Here is an 18,050-nt window from a genome sequence, read left to right as displayed (position 1 = left end):
TTGGTAAACAGAGTGGATGACTGCCCCTCCCGCTACCTCTTGAAAGAAGGGTAACTTGAGCAAAACATTTCTTGCCAACTTCCTGGTGGCCTAGAGGCTTTAGTGTCGTGAGCCTCTGCTGTCCTGAGAGTTGAGTCTTCTGAGAGCCTGTGGTCTGGCTGTTCTTCCACAAAGGCATGAGTTTATTCCCGCAGCTTGCAGCAATCTGCAGGGTTTTCCTCTGGCAAGAAAAATCAAAACCCAAAGCGCAAGGCCCCTGGGTCTCCTGGGCTCCCCCAGTAGGTCAGTGTGGCCTCTCAGAGGGCTCTTCTTGGGGCTGCTTAGGTGGCTGGGAATTGCAGTCTCAAGGTGGTGCTGGAAACGAAGCGTGGCCATGGGGGAGGAAGGCATCAGATAGCTGGCTGCCCCACACAGCTGTCACACGCTAATGCTCAGGGAAGGCCTCTGATGAGCTATTGAGCAATATTTCCAATTTCCAACACTGTTGAAACCTTGCCGTGTTTCACAAACTTTGCCTCCGCAATGTCTGGGTAGGGGAGACTGTGTCAGGAGTGGCTGAAATTTGCTATCAATACCAGTATTGAACTGTGTCTATTCAAGCCACGAAACACCTCCTGACCCCAAGAAAAGAAGGAAAAAAGAAAAAAGGAAAGAGGAAAGGGAAAAAGAAGAATGAAGGAAGAAAGGAGGAAGGAAGAAGAAAAAGGAAGAAGAAAGCTGCAAGGAAGGAGGGAAAGAAGGAGGAAAGAGGAAGAACAGAAGGTAAGAAGGAAAGGGGGAAGAAGAAAGGAAGATGGGAGGCAAGAAAGAAGAGGGAAGAAAGAGGGAGGAAGGAAAAAGGAAGAAGGAAGCAGAAGGGAGGATGGAAGGAAGGAATGAAAGTAGGGAGGAAGAAAAAAGAAGGAAGGAAGGAAGAGAGGAAGGGAGGGAGGGAGGGGAGGAACAGACGGAGGCTGCTGGGGACAGCAAGGTTGGGTGAGCAGTTCTGGGTCTGGTCTGTGAGCAGCTTCCTCTCTTTAGTGTCAGCCCACCCCTGCTCACTCAGACACCTTCTGAGCAGAGCTTCCCATCACTTCCAGGGTTAACATGACATTCAAAAGGTTCTCTGTGGTCTGGTTTCACCCTGCAGTGAAGCAAATTCTGACTTAACAATGGACATAATTCTTACCAGGCTATTGGAGGTTGGTCTTCCGCCACCATGGGGGTGGGTGGGAAGCAGAGCAAAGAGCTAGTCCCATCCTGCTGTGGGAGAGCTGTGAATCTTGCTGAAGGAGACCACACAGGCGCCAGGATGGGGCCTGAGAGGGGCAGGTCCAGGGAAATGGGCCCGTTGGGGGCGGGAGGGTGTAGGGTAGGGCCCCAAGGTGAGCTTCTGCAGCTGATTGGGAGCTTGCAAACTGAAGGTTTAGAGGGAGCAAGCAGAGCTTTGTGCAGATAGAGACAAAACTCGTGTGGGACTTCAGTCACAGGAAGGCCGGGCAGGCACAGAGGGTCACTGCAAGGGGTGCCAGAAGAGAGTTTAAGGTAGGAGCTGGTGAGCAACAGGGAGTGGCCAGTAGGGAAGGGACCAACAAGATGGTGGAGCCCTGGAGGGAGAGATGTGAGCCTCCTGGGCCTGCAGGGACGAAGAAGAGGAAGCCACTCCCAAAATATGCCCACAGGGCTGGGTGTGGGGGCAGGACAACCTGGGACTTTTATCCTGCCAGCCAATGTCAGAGCTTCCCATTGTCCTGCAGGACCCCAAGGGCGAGGGCCCCTAGAGGTGACCCTCCTAGGACACTGAGCAGATCAGAGGGTAAAAGGGGTTGGAAAATGCAGGGTAGCCCACCTAGGTGTCTGTGCATCCTCCCATTCATATGGGCAGTGGTCAGGATGGGAATCTGCAGAGGGAATGGAAGTGACGACTACTGAGTGCTGCCTCCACAGGGAGCTGTTCTGTGCGCTTCACATTAGGAATCACTCAACACTCATGCCTCTCTATGAGCAAGGGGTTATTTATGGCTCCATTTTGTAGAGAAAGAAGTTAAGGCATAGTCAGTGTTCCATGAGATGGCCACTCTTATCATCCTTATTGTACACCTGGGAAAGCCAAGGACAGAGAGAGCCACTACCTCGACTAGGAAGAATAAGCTGGGATTTGAACCCAGGAAGCCTGGCATCAGAGCTGAGCCCCTCACCACTGCCTCTGTTCAAGCCTGGCCAGGGTTGTACCAGGAGGCTTTTCTGCCATAGCTGAGATATTCTTATTCTTATCCTCCATACCCACTCCCTTGATTGTCTTCAACCCCTCCAGAATCACCCCTTTGCTCCCCTGCCCCAGCTCAAGCCCCTGTACTTTGTCTAGACCTCTTTGTCTAATCTCCCAATGTTTCTCATTAGTGGTCCTGACAGGCAGCCTGAGCCAAGCCTTTCTGCAGCTGCTCTTTGAGGTCAGCAGTATCTCGCCAATGCCCTTTTCCTTGTCAAGGTCATGAATTTCCCCATGCACTTGAACCACCTGTATTAGTATGTATGTAATCTTGTTCTTCCAATCAAGTCCTTACTGAAATATATTTATTTCAAAGGAAATGGCCAGGTAAAGTGGCTCGTGCCTGTGATACCAGCACATTGAGAGGCCAAGGCAGGAGAATCACTTGAGCCCAGGAGTTCCAGACCAGCCTGGGCAACACAGCCAGACCCCATCCCTGCAAGAAGTTTTTTAAAAACCAGCTATGTATGGAGGTGTACACTTTTGGTCCCAGCTACTCAGGAGGCTGAGGCAGGAATATCACTTGAGACCAGGAGGTTGAGGCTGCAGTGAGCCATGATCACACCACTACACTCCACCCTGGGCAACAGAGCAAAACTCTGTCTCAATTAAAAAAAAAAAGAAAAAGAAGGATTACAAAAAAGATAATGTCATATATCTCCCATAAATGGAAAATGATTCTTTCTAATACACCTTGAAATGAACAGAAAACTATTAAAATTAGAAAGACACACCCATAGACCATCTACAATCAGGAACTTTCTTCCATAGCACCATTTGAAATTGTACATTTATTTGTTATTATTTATGTGATAGGCTGTGAGCATTCAGTCTTTCAGTGATGAGTAGAAGAAAAAGGAAATAGCATGGGATGATGAAAAAAATACTAAAAAAGTGCAGAGGAAGATTTCTCTGAAAACAGCCTACTGCAAGACTAGATGAATATTTCAGAAAACTTCTGAGTCACAGTATGGATAGGTATCTCCAAGCTGATTGCCATCTGCTGTTATTAGCAGCTTCTCCAATACCTTGTTTTTTTTTTTAAGACAGGGTCTCACCCCATTGCCCAGGCTGGAGTGCAGTGGCACAATCATAGCTCCCTGCAGCCTCTACCTCCTGGGCTCAGGCGATCCTCTCACCTCAGCCTCCCCAGTAGCAGGGTCTGGGATTGTAGGCATGAGCCACTATGCCTGTCTAATTGTTTTACTTGCTGTGGACTTAGGGTCTCGCTATATTGCCCAGGCTTGCTTTGAACTGTCCACCTCAAGCGTTCCTCCCTCCCTAGTCTACCAAAGCACTGTAATTACAGGTGTAAACCCGAGCCCAGCCCCAAACCTTGTTGTTAATTTGAGTTTTGATCCAGGTTTTCAATCAGCAGTCTTTTGTTTGTTTGCTTTCTTGCTAGTTGTTTGTTTCCCATTCTTGATGTCTACTCCATTAAGGCAGGAGTCTTTTCTGTTTTTATTTATTTATTTATTTTGAGACGGAGTCTCGCTCTGTCGCCCAGGCTGGAGTGCAGTGGTGCGATCTCGGCTCACCGCAACCTCCACCTCCTGGGCTCAAGCGATTCTCCTGCCTCAGCCTGCCGAGTAGCTGAGATTACAGGTGCCTGCCACCACGCCCGGCTAATTTTTGTATTTTTTAGTAGAGATGGGGTTTTGCCATGTTGGTCAGGCTGGTCTTGAACTCCTGACCTCAGGTGATCCACCCAACTCGGCCTCCCAAAGTGCTGGGATTACAGGTGTGAGCCACTGTGCCCAGCCTTTTTTTTTTTTCTTCTTTTTTTCTTTTTTTTACAATCACTAGATGAATATTCCCTGCCTGGATGAACGTGGCAAGTTTCATCTTGCCCCGTATTATCAAGAAGTAGAAAATGTCTGCAGTCAAACCTACTAGAGTTCATTTTTAATGCACAGATTGGTTCGTATTTATTGACACAGTGAAACTTTAAATTTTTTTCTGGTCAAACCCATTTACCTTTTCCCTTATTGTTTTAATCTCTGGTTTCGTATTTATTAAGTTCTCCCTTACCCCCAAGATTACATAAATATTCACTGAAATATGCTTCTTGTGTTTTTATGGTTTCATGTTACGTTTGAATCTTTAATCCACCTAGAGTGAAAAACAGAAAGCTAACTTTATTTCATTTCAAGGGATTGGCCATTTGCCCAAACTGTTTATTGAAAAACGCCTATGATTTACACACTAATTTGAAAGGTCATCTTATCGCATATTAAATGCTTACATAACTTCCGGTGGGCATGTGGAGTTCTGATTCTGTGCCACTGCATTCCGGCATCAGGAATTCAATTTTTAAAAGACTTTTAGCTTTAATATCTGATAAGGCAAATCTCATTCCCTGCTGCTCTGGTTTTCTTTTCAAATATTTATTGCCAGAAAATGGACATTTTTGCAATATTGTGTCTTCCTATCCAGGGACATGTATACATATATCTCTCCATTTACTAAATAATTTGTGCTTCTCAGGTAATAGTTGGAGCCCTCTGACTTTAGGTCCTGTATGTGTTTCCTTGTTTAGTTTACTCCTAGGAATTTCTAATTTCTTATTGAATTGTGAATGGGGCCTTTTTTCCCCCAATATATTTTGTTACGACTATTTTGGGGCACTTGGCAAGCCGCAAAGTTTTGTATATTTATTTTGTAACTGGCCACCTCACTGAATTCTCTTTTCAACTTGAATAGCTCCTTTTCCCCTGTGGTTTTCTCTGGATGTTTGACTTCTGTGCCTTTTGTGGCAGAAGCCAGGCTGTCCAGGCTGAGTCCCAGCACTCTTGGGGGGACGGCTGACCCTCCTGGAATGGCCTTAGGAGGAGGCATTGCACCCTCCACTAGCGTTTAAGGATCACTCTCCAAACAAAATATTTTTTCCATGAAGGAGGTTTTTTTTAACGTCAGTTGGTATTTTGGTCAGGAATTACAGAATGTACTTCGCAACAAGTTAAAAACACACTGCTCTTTAAAACCAGGCCTTTTCCAACAAGATCAACAACAAATGTGTTACTTTTCTCACACCTTAGACATGTAGGAAAATGTGTACTCAGGGAGCTGGCCGGGCGCCCGCCTGGGGAGGGTGCCAGGCTGGATGAATGCTCTGGGGCAGGGGCTCTGCTTGTCCTTGTTGGCCAGCCTTTGAGGAGCTAGCTGCTAAGAGTCCCTTCAGAGTCCATGGGCACCCTGGTCCTTGGAGCGCAAGCCAGGGCAGCTGGCAGCCTCCACCCGGAAGGAGAGCTCCACCATGCAGGAGGGCTGGGCACATGTCTGTGTGTTTTGTTTGCATTGTCTCAGTAATGAGCCACATCACACAATGAGGAAGGTGCCTTTTCTCTCCTTTTAAGAAGAGAAACTGAGGCTTCACATGTTTAAAGTAATTTCCTCTAGGCCTTGTAGACGTTCAGGGACAGAACCTGGATTTAAACTCTATTTAATCCAGCGAGTCTCAAAATTTTAGTCTCAGGACCCCTTTTCACTCTTAATAAATTAAATAAAAATTGCTGAGGACCTTTTTTAAATGGTGAGTTACACCTATTGGTATTTAATGTATTTGAAATGAAAATGAAAAGCTTATTTATTTTTATTGATCTATATTAGGTTGTACATATTTTGGGGGTACATGTGATATTCTGATACACATATACAATGTGCAATGATCAAATCAAGGTAACTGGGATATATAAGACCTTAAACATGTGTCTTTTCTTTCTGTTGGGAACATTACAAATCTCTTTTAGCTATACTGAAATATACAAGAAAATATTGTTAACTTATAACACTTGTTCCTTCTACCTAACTGTATGTCTGTATCCCTTAACCAACTTTGGAGGAACTTTTAAAGCCCAGGAACACATGCTGTCAGAGTGGTGACGTCATGGCCCCTGCCCATTGGCTGTCGGAGCAGTGACATCATCATACCTGCTGGAAGTTGCTGCCATACCCCTGAGAGAGAATGAGACAGAAGTAACATGTTAACATTGTCACGAACAGAGTTTTCACCTTGAAGATGCCTTGAAAGTGTATCGGGGCCCCAGAGCTCTCTGGACCACTTTGAGAACCACTCAGTCCTCTAAACTGCTGAAAACTGGTGCCTTTGTGAACACAAATCAGGGCAACTTGGAGTTTCTGTGCTGGAAGGACGGCTTCAGAGGAGCTCATCGTGGCCAGAAAAATGCAGGAGGATGAAGAGGTCAGTGATGAAGAAAGAGCCAGCACACCTCTACTGAGTGACCTCTGTGCAGACAGCATTCCTAGTGCTGTCTGTACTTCCCTCATGATGGAGACACCAGGACCACTGCTGCCCACAGAGGCTAGAGACATGAAGGGGTTTGCCCAAGGTCACACCACACTGGGGAATGGCTCTAGGCGATTGAGCGGGGGGAGTGCCCTGCTGAGATGACCTTCAATTACCTGGCCAGCCCTCGCCAGCCCAGGACAGGCTCCTACCTGGTGTTTTAACCTGATGTTTGGTTGACAAAGCAGGGAGTGTTAGGGCCCAGCCTGTTCTAGCACCTTCTTCATCAATCAGCAAACCTCTAAGCACCTACTCTGCTCTGCAGGTGAATCTGGGAGGCAGACAGGAACAATCAACTGAACAAATACAGGATGCCAGCCTGTGTGAAGTGTAGCAGAGGGCGTGCAAAGACATCGCTCTGCCCTCGGGCTTCTGAAGAAGGTACTCTATAATCTAACCACCCAGTTGTCCCCATCTGCCTGCTAGGTGACCCGAAGGCCCACCCCATGTTCCCTCCTATGTAGCCTTTCTCCTTGCAGTTCCCTCTGCAGGGGCTGCCCTGCTGCCCCCCTTTCCCCGCCCCCCCCCCCCGCCCCCAACCTCCAGCTCCTGAAAGCTGTCCTCAGAGGCCCACAGCAAACCTGCACCCTTTCCAGCCTCACCTCTGGCCAGGGCCAGTGGCACCTGGAATCAAGCCGCCTTCTCCATGTTGCCCTTGCCCAATTCTGGGATGTGGCCAGAGTTGTCGTGGCAGAGTGTCTCGCACCATTTGTCCCAGACAAGTTGGTCGTCCCCCATCCCATGGGCCTCCCTGCCCACCTGGGTGCCAGGTCAGATTCTCCCTCTTCTCTCCTGTTTTCACGGCTCTGTCTCAAGGAAAGCCATGCTCCATCCCTCCATATGTCAGGACGTCCCCCAGATAGACCCCCGCCTGCCCCACTGCCCACCTACATCTAGGATCCATGCTGCCCACTGACCTCGCACAGGTGGTTCACAGGACCTGTCCTGGGGGAAGGCCTAGCTCAGCGGGGGAGGCAGTGGGACGGCACACACAGTGCTAAGAGAAGGGGCGCTGGAAAATGCAGGAGGATGAAGAGGACGGTCCCAGAGGAGAGTGTCACTGAGCTAAGGGAGATGTGGGGGTCAGGAGAGCAGAAACACACGGTGAAGGGCTGGGTCCTTGCAAAGGCAATCGGTACTGCCATCAACGGGAGGAGGTACCAGGCCTGGGACCCTAATGAATGGCACAAGCTACTTCCTGTCTCTGAGCCTCGATTTCCTCATCTGTAAAATGGGAGTGATAAAAAGACCTTCTCCTTAGAAGACCTGAGAGCAGGCGGCTTCATCCGCTTCAGTTGCGCAAAGGCGGCGCTGGCTGCCCCTGACGCCCCCGCCCTCTTGGCCTGGGCAGCTTTTCCCTGTCCCGGCCACAGCCACAAAGGCCGCCTGGGAGAGAGGAAGCTGCCGCTTAAGTGCCGCCGCACAGCGCCCTCCGCGGAGGGTAAATGGAGCCTCCGGCCACGGGCGCGCGGCTGGGCCGGGCTGCTCTGCAAACCGCTCACGTGCTCCTGCCTTTCCGAGCCGGGGACTGCGCCAGGGCGCGCAGGAAAAAACACAGCCCGGAGCTGCAAGAAGCCCTTCTTTCTTTTCTTTAATCACTCACTCCCCGGCTTTGCGTCTCCTCCCCTCGCTTGCGGGAATGTTATGAATGGAATGTACGGATTCCAGCCTGTGCGCGCGCGGCCAGGAATGCAGGGCGCAGCGACCTCTCGACCCACGGCCAGCGCACCGCCCCAGCGCCACAGCCTGGGATCCCAGAGCCACAGCCTGGGATCCCTGAGCCACAGCCTGGGATCCCTGAGCCGGCCCGGCCGCCACGAACACTCAGGGCCACGTGGCCTGACGTCTGCAGTGGGAGATTCAGACGGTAAGCATTCAAAGTGAGGCGAGAGAGCCAAGCAGCGCCGCCGGGACACACCGGGGCCACTCTCACGCTTCGGCCCTGGGGATGTGCGCACCGGCACACACAGCAGGGTGTATGCACACAAAAGGGTGCGCACACACACAGGGGCGCACACGCAGCCTTTGCATGCACAGAAACACCTCAGGTGGGGCACACATACACACATTGGTGTACAAACACACACTATGGTCTTTTCAAACCGATGCACATAGTAGGTGGTTTTTGCACACAAGGAGACCTACACTCACATTCCAGAAGCCTGCACATTGTGCACCCCTACCCACGTATAACTCCAGTGGTGTACACACAAAACATAGCTGGTTGTGTACCCAAATAAAAGGGGCGCACATATCCATGGCACAGCGTGCACACAGGCACAATAGTGGAGTGTTGTACTCACGAGGGACTCCAAACACAGCTCCATCGCCTTGGCGGACAGAGGCTCACAGAGGGCCCGAAGTCCTGGACACAGAATGCCAGCCCCTGGCTCCCTGGGCTGGAGGAGAAACCTTGGTTCCTCCCTCCCTTCTTAGCCCCCGCCCATCCCGGCCTGGCCTCTCAGGACTGAGTCTCCTGCAGATGTGAAGGGCTGGGAAAAGCTGCACAGAGAGGACGTTGAGGGGTGCAGTGGGGGGCCTCTTTTGGGGCTTGTGTGTGTGTTAAACCGTGACATGAGGGGCTAAAGGACTGGAAGCTGTTGCCTGGAGAACCGGAGTGCCCATAGGGGCTCCAAGGCTGATCCAAGCAGCGCCTGGCCTCCCCAGTCCTGCTCCTGGCCGCGGGTGGCCGCCAGCCAGCCCTGTGTCCATGCCAGCTCCACCACCTCCCTCTGGACACAGTGTTCTCTCTTGGGATACGGGGCAAACGTGAGCATCCCAGCCCCGTGGGAACCAGGGCATCCTGCCAACCCTTTCATTCATTCACTTATCCATCCAGTCATTTATTCATTCATTCAGGAACTGTTTGCTGACTGCCTACAACATGCCAGGCACCACATGCCAGCAGAGGCCATCGAGACACTCTGCCTCTGTCCCCAGTGCCCCACATATTTCCAGCTCACAGATACGTTTTGTTTGGCCTTGCGACAATTTTAAAGCTTGTAAAATAATAAAGTAATATAATTTTAGTAATATTAAAATGACATTAATTAAAATTATGTGAACCCTGAAAATCTGAGACCGGTCTCAGTTAATTTAAAAAGTTTACTTGGCTGGGTGTGGAGGCTCACGCCTGTAATCTCAGCACTTTGGGAGGCTGAGGCGGGCGGATCACAAGGTCAAGAGATCGATCAAGACCATCCTGGCCAACATGGCGAAACCCCGTCTCTACTAAAAATACAAAAATTAGCTGGGCATGGTGGTGTGTGCTGTAATCCCAGGTACTTGGGAGGCTGAGGCAGGAGAATCGCTTGAACCCAGGAGGTGAAGTTTGCAGTGAAACGAGATCGCGCCACTGCACTTCAGCCTGGTGACAGAGGGAGACTCGTCTCAAAAAAAAAAAAAAAAAGTTTACTTATTTTGCCAAGGTTGAGGACATGCCCGTGCACAGCCTCAGGAAGTCCTGACGACATGTGCCCAAGGTGATCAGAGCACAGCTTGGTTTTATACTTTTTAGGGAGACAGGAGACATCAATCAACATATGTAAGAAGTACATTGGTTTGATCTGGAAAAGCAGAACAACTTGAAGCAAAGGCTGAAAGACCCAAAGTGGGGAGGGGCCTTCCAGGTCACAGACAGGTGATACACAAGCAGTTACATTCTTTTGAGTTTCTGATTAGCCTTTCCAACGGAGGCAATCAGATATGCATCTATCTCAGTGAGCAGAAGGGTGACTGAATAGAATGAGAGACAGGTTTGCCCTAAGCAGTTCCCAGCCCGACTTTTCCCTTTAGCTTAGTGATTTGGGGACCCCAAGATTTATTTTCCTTTCACAAATATTATTAAGATAAAATAATAAGAATCCAGACTTTCATCTTACTTTGGAAAAATGGGAGAATCTGACCTTCGGCCTGCCTTCTCACCAAGCAGCACTGCTTGGCGCGGAGCCCAGCCGCCCCCTTCCGCCAGCCCGTGAGCTGCACCTTACCACTGCTCTAGCCATCCTCTCAGCCTTCCTAGGCTGGGCCTGTCTTTCTGGGGGCTCATAGAGCATCTGCGTTAGGCCCTAGGAGTGTTTGCAGCGGGAGCCTCCAGGGGAGGTGGCTTGCGCCCCACACTGTCCTAAGTCCAGGAAGGGACAGCCCCCAGAGCACGGCTGGGTGGGACTGTCGGCAACCCAAGTGGATTAACTCCCTGACTCAGAACTCGGGGTGTTTGTGTGTGTTTTAAGCAGAAGGAGGCAGAGTAGGAAGGGTTTGGAGAGAAAGGTCAGCTGAAATCAAGACATGCACACACCTCGGATTCTTCAGAAATGGATGCAGCTTGAAACGTCTCACATTCCAAATTCTGGCAGCCAAGTGAGCGGTTTCCTACTTCTGTTCATAACGCCCCCTTGAAGAGATCCTGTGTGGCTGCCAGCTGCCAGATAGACTTCAAGCTAAACAGGACAGAATCCCTAATCCACTTCACTGTTCTCAGACATGATCCTTGATGACTCCTCTGGCACTCCTGACTTGCATTTTAGGGTCATCCTTTTCTTTCCTAATCGGATATCTGGTTGCAGGGTTCGGTGGATGAGAGAGCCAAGCGGTGCCACTGGGACACATAGGGGCCACGCTCACACTTCAGCCCTGGGGATGTGCTCACCGGCATACACAACAGGGTGCTCACACACACTGGGGTGCACATGCAGCCGGTGCCCCAGTGAGTGAGCCCAGACACTTCCTACAGCCCCCAAGGAATGTTGGTCTCATTCAGGTGGGGTGGGTTTAGGGCAGCTCTGTATCTTGTCACCAGTGTCTGCACTTCCATTTCTCTGTTTACCATGCCTTGTTCTTTTGATGATAAGAACAGAGCATAGGCAGACCTTGGAATCACCACAGGTCTGCTGTGCGACAGACTAGGCTGCTGGAGGAGCCTCTGGCCACACCACCCACAGTGGCCTCCTCTGCCTCGCTGAGGGGCATCTATGTCAGTTGGGCACCAGGGAAAGTGGGCTAGGGGTGTCAGGGTCAGAGGTACCCAGATGCAGGAGCAAAGACAAGCTAAAGCTGCTGTCTCCCAGAGAGCGGGTGTCCTGGGAACATGCTTGAGAGAAGACAGAGCATCCTTGCATGGTGGCAGAACATTAACCCAGGCCTTGTGGAACCCAGACAAGTGCAAACCAACATCCTACCGCTTCCCCAGCTGCCTCTCCTCCTCCCTTCTGCTCCCCAATCTACCCCTGCATGGCAAGCTCCAGTCTACAAAGTCCATCTCCAAACGCCATCTCATCTTGCGAATGCAGTGCCATCACCTCCATTGCAAGGATGAAGTCATCCAGGACCAGAAGATGCACCTGGCTGGCCAACGTCAAATAATGGATTGACGGAAGGGGCCGGAGTTAACCAGAACAAGATGCCCCAAGCAAGAGCCATGTCTCCATGGACATTGCCGGGCCGGCCTTCTTTCATTTCTCCTCCTTGGAGGCAACACAGGTAGGGAGCCACCCCAGGGCCCTGGCACCACTTCTGTGCCCAGCACTGGGGCTAGGATGATGCACTTGAAGATGAGAGGTCACTCCCTGCCGTGAGCGTCTTAGGGCCTCTAGCCTCATCCCTTCCAAGCTTCTCCATGGATAGAGACCCAACCTGGGATCCTGCTTTCCAGGAAGGTCTGCCTCTTTCTCCCAGTACCCAGGGTCTGGATCCTCACACCCTGGGGTGACAGGGCCCACTTATAAGAAGGAGCTGCCTGTTAGGTGTGGCATGTCCCCACATCTTCAGTACTCTGTAAGTCTCTTTCCCTCCCCTAATTTCATGAGGTGGCCCTAGTGCCACAATCTTGTCTCTTCTACACAGATGCTGTGTAGATGGTGTGAGCCCAGAATTGGGCACAGACATTTTGGGTGGATTCTAGTTTGTGTTGACCTGAAAGCAAGGGGCCAGGAGGGGCATGAGCGTGGCAGGACTCAAGCCAACTCACTCTACCTATGCACAGATGGAAAAAAGGGGACATACCAGAATTCCTCTTGGGACAACACTGTATTTATTTGGAAGAAATAACACCTCTGGGGCTGGGGCATCTCTAGGGCTTGCCCAAGTCATGGAAGTTGGTTGATAAGGCCCTTCCAAGGAGGGCAATCCTCTTAATGCAAGCATTGTGCACTTATGGGAGCCATGATAGATGCGGGAATGATTGTTAAAGCAGAGACCAGAGTGGAACTGAATTGCTCTGCATAATAGAGGGAAGTTCCTCCTCCTGAGGAAGAAGAGGAGGAAGAGGAGGAGGAAGAGAAGGAGGAGGAGAGACAAAGGGGGCTAGTACTGCCTGGAGGGAGTAGGAAACATTCGATGGTACCAAGGGAGTTAGGAAATGCTTACGGGGATCTGAAACGAAGGTGAAGTGTTCAATACACACCCAATTCCCTTCCCCTGCAAAATATGCATTTAGGCTTACATCATTTCTAGATGCTTTGTCCACTTGGTTATTCAGTGCAATGGGTGGGGGAGATCTGAAAGGGTGCTGCCTTTTCAATTTTGGTTGACCTATGGTTAAACCTTGAGATGCTGATGGTAAGCCCTCTGTGTGGTCTGCAGATGAGGCTAAATCCCAGGCCTAGTGTGTGCAGCCGACCTGTGCACTGCATGCTGCCCTGGCCACACCTTGAAGGAAACTCTGTCATCTATCTCCTCTGTGACTTTAGACAACTTCGCTGTCCTCTCTGAGCCTCAGTCTACTCATCTGTAAAATGGGGAGTGCATTAGTTTCCTGCTGCTGCAGTAACAAATAGCCACAAACTTAGTGGCTCCAAACAACACACACCCACTCTCTAATGATTCTGGAGGTCAGAGGTCTGCGGTGGGTCTCACTGGGCTGAAATCAAGTTGTTGACAGGGCTGCATTCCCCCCTGGAAGCTCTGTTTCCTTCCCTTTTTCCCTTCTAGAGGCTGCCTGTACTCCTTGGCTTCTGGCCCCTTCCTCCACATCACCTCATTTCCACTGGCTCGCCTGCCCTGCTTTTTCATATTTAAGGACCTTGTGTCCACCCGGGTCATCCAGAATGATCTGCCTACCTTAAAGTCAGTTGCTTGGCAACCTTAATGCCGCCTGCAAATTTTATCTCCCTTTGCCATGTAAGGTGACATATTCCCAGGTTAGGGAGATCAAGACATGGACATTGCTGAGGGGCTGTATTCTGTTTCCCACAGGGAGGAGAAGTGAACCAACAGCAAAGTGTTTCTCAAACACAAGAGAGAGAGTGCAATGTTAGCTTGGAGAGGGCTGGACTCATCAGGTGATGCTGGGTAGAAAGGAAAAGCAGACTCCATCTACAACGACAGCTGAAGGGAATGACAATATTGTCAGCAGATGCTAGGGCAAGGACACGCCTCGGCAGTAGATAAGCCAGCTGGGACACGGGCTCAGGAAAAGGGGTGGAGGTCCCTGAACTGACTGGGATTTTGGTTAAATTAAAATAGAAAACGGAGACAGATTAATTTGAGCAACAAATTGCATTAAAATGACATGCGCACCTTTGTGGGCTAAAACTCATCCTCACTGCATATAGGTCTTTGGTTTGTGGAAACAAATCTAAGTTTGAAATGTGAACATCTTCTAGCTTATTTTATTTTATTTTGCCTTATATTTTGAGCACAGGCCTGGATTTGGGGGCATTCAGCTTGGGGGTCCAGAGGGCTCATCCTAGAGAAGCTATGGAGAGCCGATCTTCATGGGCCTTTTCTGCTGGGGCCTTGCCTGGGAGCCCCTGGCTCTGAGACAGGGTGGCCCAAGCTGGGCTTGGCGGGAGTGAGGGGGGCACGAGAGGAAGTGGCGGTGGCCACATGCTAGTGGCTGGAAAGAAAGCTCTGACAGCTTGGGCCTTGCTCTTGGCAGGAGGGTCTCAGACCCCCCAGCCCCACCTTGCCCGCCAGAGAACAGTTACTCAAGAGGCAGCAGAAAGCCCTGGGGTGTGCTGAGTTTTGTGTTGGCCGGGCCACTGAGATGATGCAACTCCACTCTGCATTGTGCAATGAGATGAAAGGGCCACCAGGGAGGGCGCACACACAGGGGCTTTGCATCAGCCACACATTGAACTGGGTCACAATCAGTTATACACACAGACAGTCTAAGATTCAGAGGAAAAGGAAGACATAAAACTCACACCCTGAGAGCCCAGGAGAGACCAGTGAAAAGGAGGAGGAGGGGGAGAAGGAAGAGGAGGGAGGGAGGAGGGGGAGAAGGGAGAGGAGAGGAGGGGGAGAAGAAAGAAGGGGAAGTAGGGGGAGGAAGAGGGGAAGGGGGAAGAGATGGGGAGAAAGAAGAGGGAAGGAAGGAGAGGAGAAGGAAGATGAAGAGAGGAAAGAAGGGTGGGGAGGAGGGGGGAGAAGAAGGGGGAAACGGGAGAAGGAGTGGGAGAAGAACAGGGAGGAAGGGAAGAAGAAGGAAGGGGGGATAGAGGAAGGGGAGGCAGGAAGAAAGAGAGGGGTAGGGGAGGAGGAGATGTGGAGAGGAAAGAGGGGGAGGGAGAGGGGGAGAAGAAGGGGAGGAAGAGGAGAGAGGAAGGGGAAGATTACAGGAGGGAGGAGGTTAGGCAGGAGGAGGGGAAGGAGGAGGAGGGGAAGAAGATGGGGGGAGGAGGAGAGGGAAGAGGGAAGGGAGGAGGGAGAGGAGGACAAGGAGGGTTTGGGTTAAGGTTAGGCTTGGATTAGGGTTAGGAGGAGGGAGAGGAGGACAAGGAGGGTTTGGGTTAAGGTTAGTCTTGGATTAGGGTTAGGAGGAGGGAAAGGAGGACAGGGAGGAGGGGAGAAGGAAGAGGGGGAGGGGGAAGAGGTGAAGAGAAAGAAGCGAGGAGGGATGGGGAGGAGGAAGAAAAAGATGTGGAGAGGGAAGGGGCTAGAGGGAGGATGGGGAAGAGGAGGAAGAAGAACAGAGGGGGAAGAGGAAGATGTAGAGAGGGAAGAGGGGGAGGGAGGGGGAAGAGAAGGGAGGAAGGGGAAGAATAGAGGAGGGAGGAGGGAGGTAGGAGAGGAAGAGGAAGGAGATGTGGAGAGGGAAGGGGGAGGGAGAGGAAGAGGTGGAGAGGGGAAGAATGGAGGAGGGAGGAAGAGGGGAAAAGGAGGAGGGGAGGAGGGAGGAGGGAGGAGGGAGATGTGGCACTCATGCTAGGTGCTCTGCCACAACGGATGGAAACCTGGCACCTCCTGCCCCACAGTAGGTCTCCGTCCTGGATCTCCACTGTCACCCTGAGGCTGACGCTAGTGTGTAAAAATAGGTATGGCTCACGCAACAAGGTCCTGAAATTCTCCGCTGAGCTACATAAACAGCGATCCGATCCAAGGGTGGAGGAAAACCCAACAGCGTTGACTTTGCGAGGCCCATCGCTCTCTGTGTGGCAAGTTATTAAGGCGTTTCTAGTGGTTTTGGGTTGTCTGTGCCCCGTCTTAGAACCTGAGCCATGGGGGCACGGCCGTATCCCCCGACCCCATCTGCAAGAGTTTCCAGAAGACCGGGATTGGGGCCATCAGCAGCCCTCCACTGCCCCCCGCTGGTCAGGCTGTGGGGCCCGTGCAGGACCTGAAGGCCATTAGATAGGCACCAGGAGACACCAGTCCCTGGGGTGCTTGGGGGCTGCAAGCTTTGTCCAGTCTTGGAGAAGAGCCCTTTCCCCTCAGCAGATGATGCTGGGACCTGCCACTGTGAGACCAGCCAGGCCGCGCCCTCCCGGGGGCCCCACTTCTTCATGCATAAAGTGGGGCTTTCAGCGAGGAGGTCTTTATGCTCTTCCAGGTCTGACATCTGGAATTCTGAGATTAAGAACAAAAGAAAAACCTTCTCCAACCCAAGTAAAGGATGCACAAATGGCTGAATTTCCCCCTGTGTGGAGTGTGGAGGCACAGGGATTCTCAAAGCCTGTTTCTTTTTGATACCTTTTAATTTCAAAATGTAGATATCTTTGTACATTTTTCTGGTTATTGAAGCAATATGAACAGATGAAACTACCCTCAACTTCCCCAGTACCAAGGAACTAAAACCATAAATTATATTATTGTGTCACTTGCTACTCACCAGACTGGCAAACACAGAAAAGCCCATGGGTTGTTGAGGGCAGAGGAGAGGAGGACCTGGGGCCTTTCACACCAAGGTGCAAGTGGGAGGGGCACACAGACTGGGGGTGGGGGAAGTGTCAGCAGCACCCATCACAGGAAGTGCAGCTGCCTGGCCTCTGAGCATCTGAGCAGTTGTACTTCTGTGAATCTGTCCTGCAGAAGGGCTTGCCTGAGGCCACCACACAGGCCCCACCAGGAGCAAGTATTTTTTCTTAGAGCAAAAAATGGAAAGTGAACTGAGGGAGGGGAGCTGGCTGATGGCGCACATGAGGATAGATGAGTCACACCCACTGTGGCCACACCCTCTGCAAAGTGACTTTGCTGTCCTGCTGAGGAGGCTGGGGATGTGGTTCCCACCCTCCAACAGGTGCTGGCCTGGGACACACAGAATGTACCAGAGTGGCCTTGTGCAAGTCCAGGGCTCGGGCCTGGAGGGGCCCTTCACCCTTTGAGAGCCCTGAGCCCACCGTGCTATAGGAAAGACCAGTCCAGCCTTCAGAGGGCAGGGGTCATGTGGAGAGAAACTAAGGTGCCCCAGTCGACCGCCAGCACCAACTGCCAGACACGCCAGAGAGGCCATCCCAGCCCCACTAGCCCTATTGAGCAGACAGGTGACAGTAGCCATGCGAGTGACTCCTGGATGGACCAGCAGAAGGCCTGCCCCTGCTGGCACCCTACAGATTCATAAGCAATAATAAATCGTTGTTTTTAGTTGCTATGTTTTTGGGCGGTGTGATGGTTAATTTTATGTGTCAACCTGGCTAGACTGTGGTAGCCAATTTTGGGTTAAAGTCAGTCTAGCTGTTGCTGTGAGGATATTTTTTAGATGAGATTAACATTTAAATCAGTAGACTTTAAGTAAACCAGATGACCCTTCAAAATGTGGGTGGGCCTCATCCAATCAGTTGAAGGTCTCAAGAGAAAAGACTGAGGTCCCCTGAAAAGCAAGGAACTCTGCCTGCAGACTGCCCCTAGACTTGAGCTGCAACATCACCTCTTCTATGGGCCCCTGCCTGCCACTCTGCCCTGCAGATTTCACATTTGCCGGCTCTCACAATGACATGAGCCAATTTCTTTAACTTTATGTAGGTACATGTCTATCGATCTATACACACACATATCCACACATACACACACACTCTCTCTCTCTCCACACACACATACCCCTATAGTTCTGTTTCTCTGGAGACCCTAACACAGATGGTTTGTTATACAGCAGAAGCTAGTGAATACAAATGCTACCCAGTCATGAAAAGGAATGAGGTACATATCTATGTGCTACTGTGAAAATAGTTTCGTGATATATGAAGGGGAAAAAAGAGCTACTTGTAGAACAATATGCAAGCCTTACATATGAACCAGTGTGTGTTCATGCTTGTGTGCACACATAGCATATGTTGTGAGTGT

At 50.9% G+C, this 18,050-nt stretch overlaps 3 annotated features.

Moving 5' to 3' along the window:
• Positions 7,588-8,298: an enhancer, noted in NCBI's record as "H3K27ac-H3K4me1 hESC enhancer chr3:125986261-125986971 (GRCh37/hg19 assembly coordinates)". NCBI's record gives its function as "activates a minimal SCP1, AML or CMV promoter by ChIP-STARR-seq in naive H9 embryonic stem cells {active_cell/tissue: H9 hESC(naive)}" and the evidence as "EXISTENCE:reporter gene assay evidence [ECO:0000049][PMID:30033119]".
• Positions 8,299-9,008: an enhancer, noted in NCBI's record as "H3K27ac-H3K4me1 hESC enhancer chr3:125985551-125986260 (GRCh37/hg19 assembly coordinates)". NCBI's record gives its function as "activates a minimal SCP1, AML or CMV promoter by ChIP-STARR-seq in naive H9 embryonic stem cells {active_cell/tissue: H9 hESC(naive)}" and the evidence as "EXISTENCE:reporter gene assay evidence [ECO:0000049][PMID:30033119]".
• Positions 16,583-17,490: an enhancer, noted in NCBI's record as "H3K4me1 hESC enhancer chr3:125977069-125977976 (GRCh37/hg19 assembly coordinates)". NCBI's record gives its function as "activates a minimal SCP1, AML or CMV promoter by ChIP-STARR-seq in naive H9 embryonic stem cells {active_cell/tissue: H9 hESC(naive)}" and the evidence as "EXISTENCE:reporter gene assay evidence [ECO:0000049][PMID:30033119]".

This window comes from Homo sapiens, chromosome 3 (genome assembly GCF_000001405.40).
Source record: "Homo sapiens chromosome 3, GRCh38.p14 Primary Assembly".
NCBI lineage: Eukaryota > Metazoa > Chordata > Mammalia > Primates > Hominidae > Homo > Homo sapiens.
The sequence above is the reverse complement of the archived record's forward strand: the minus strand, read 5'-3'. Positions and strand labels throughout refer to the sequence as shown.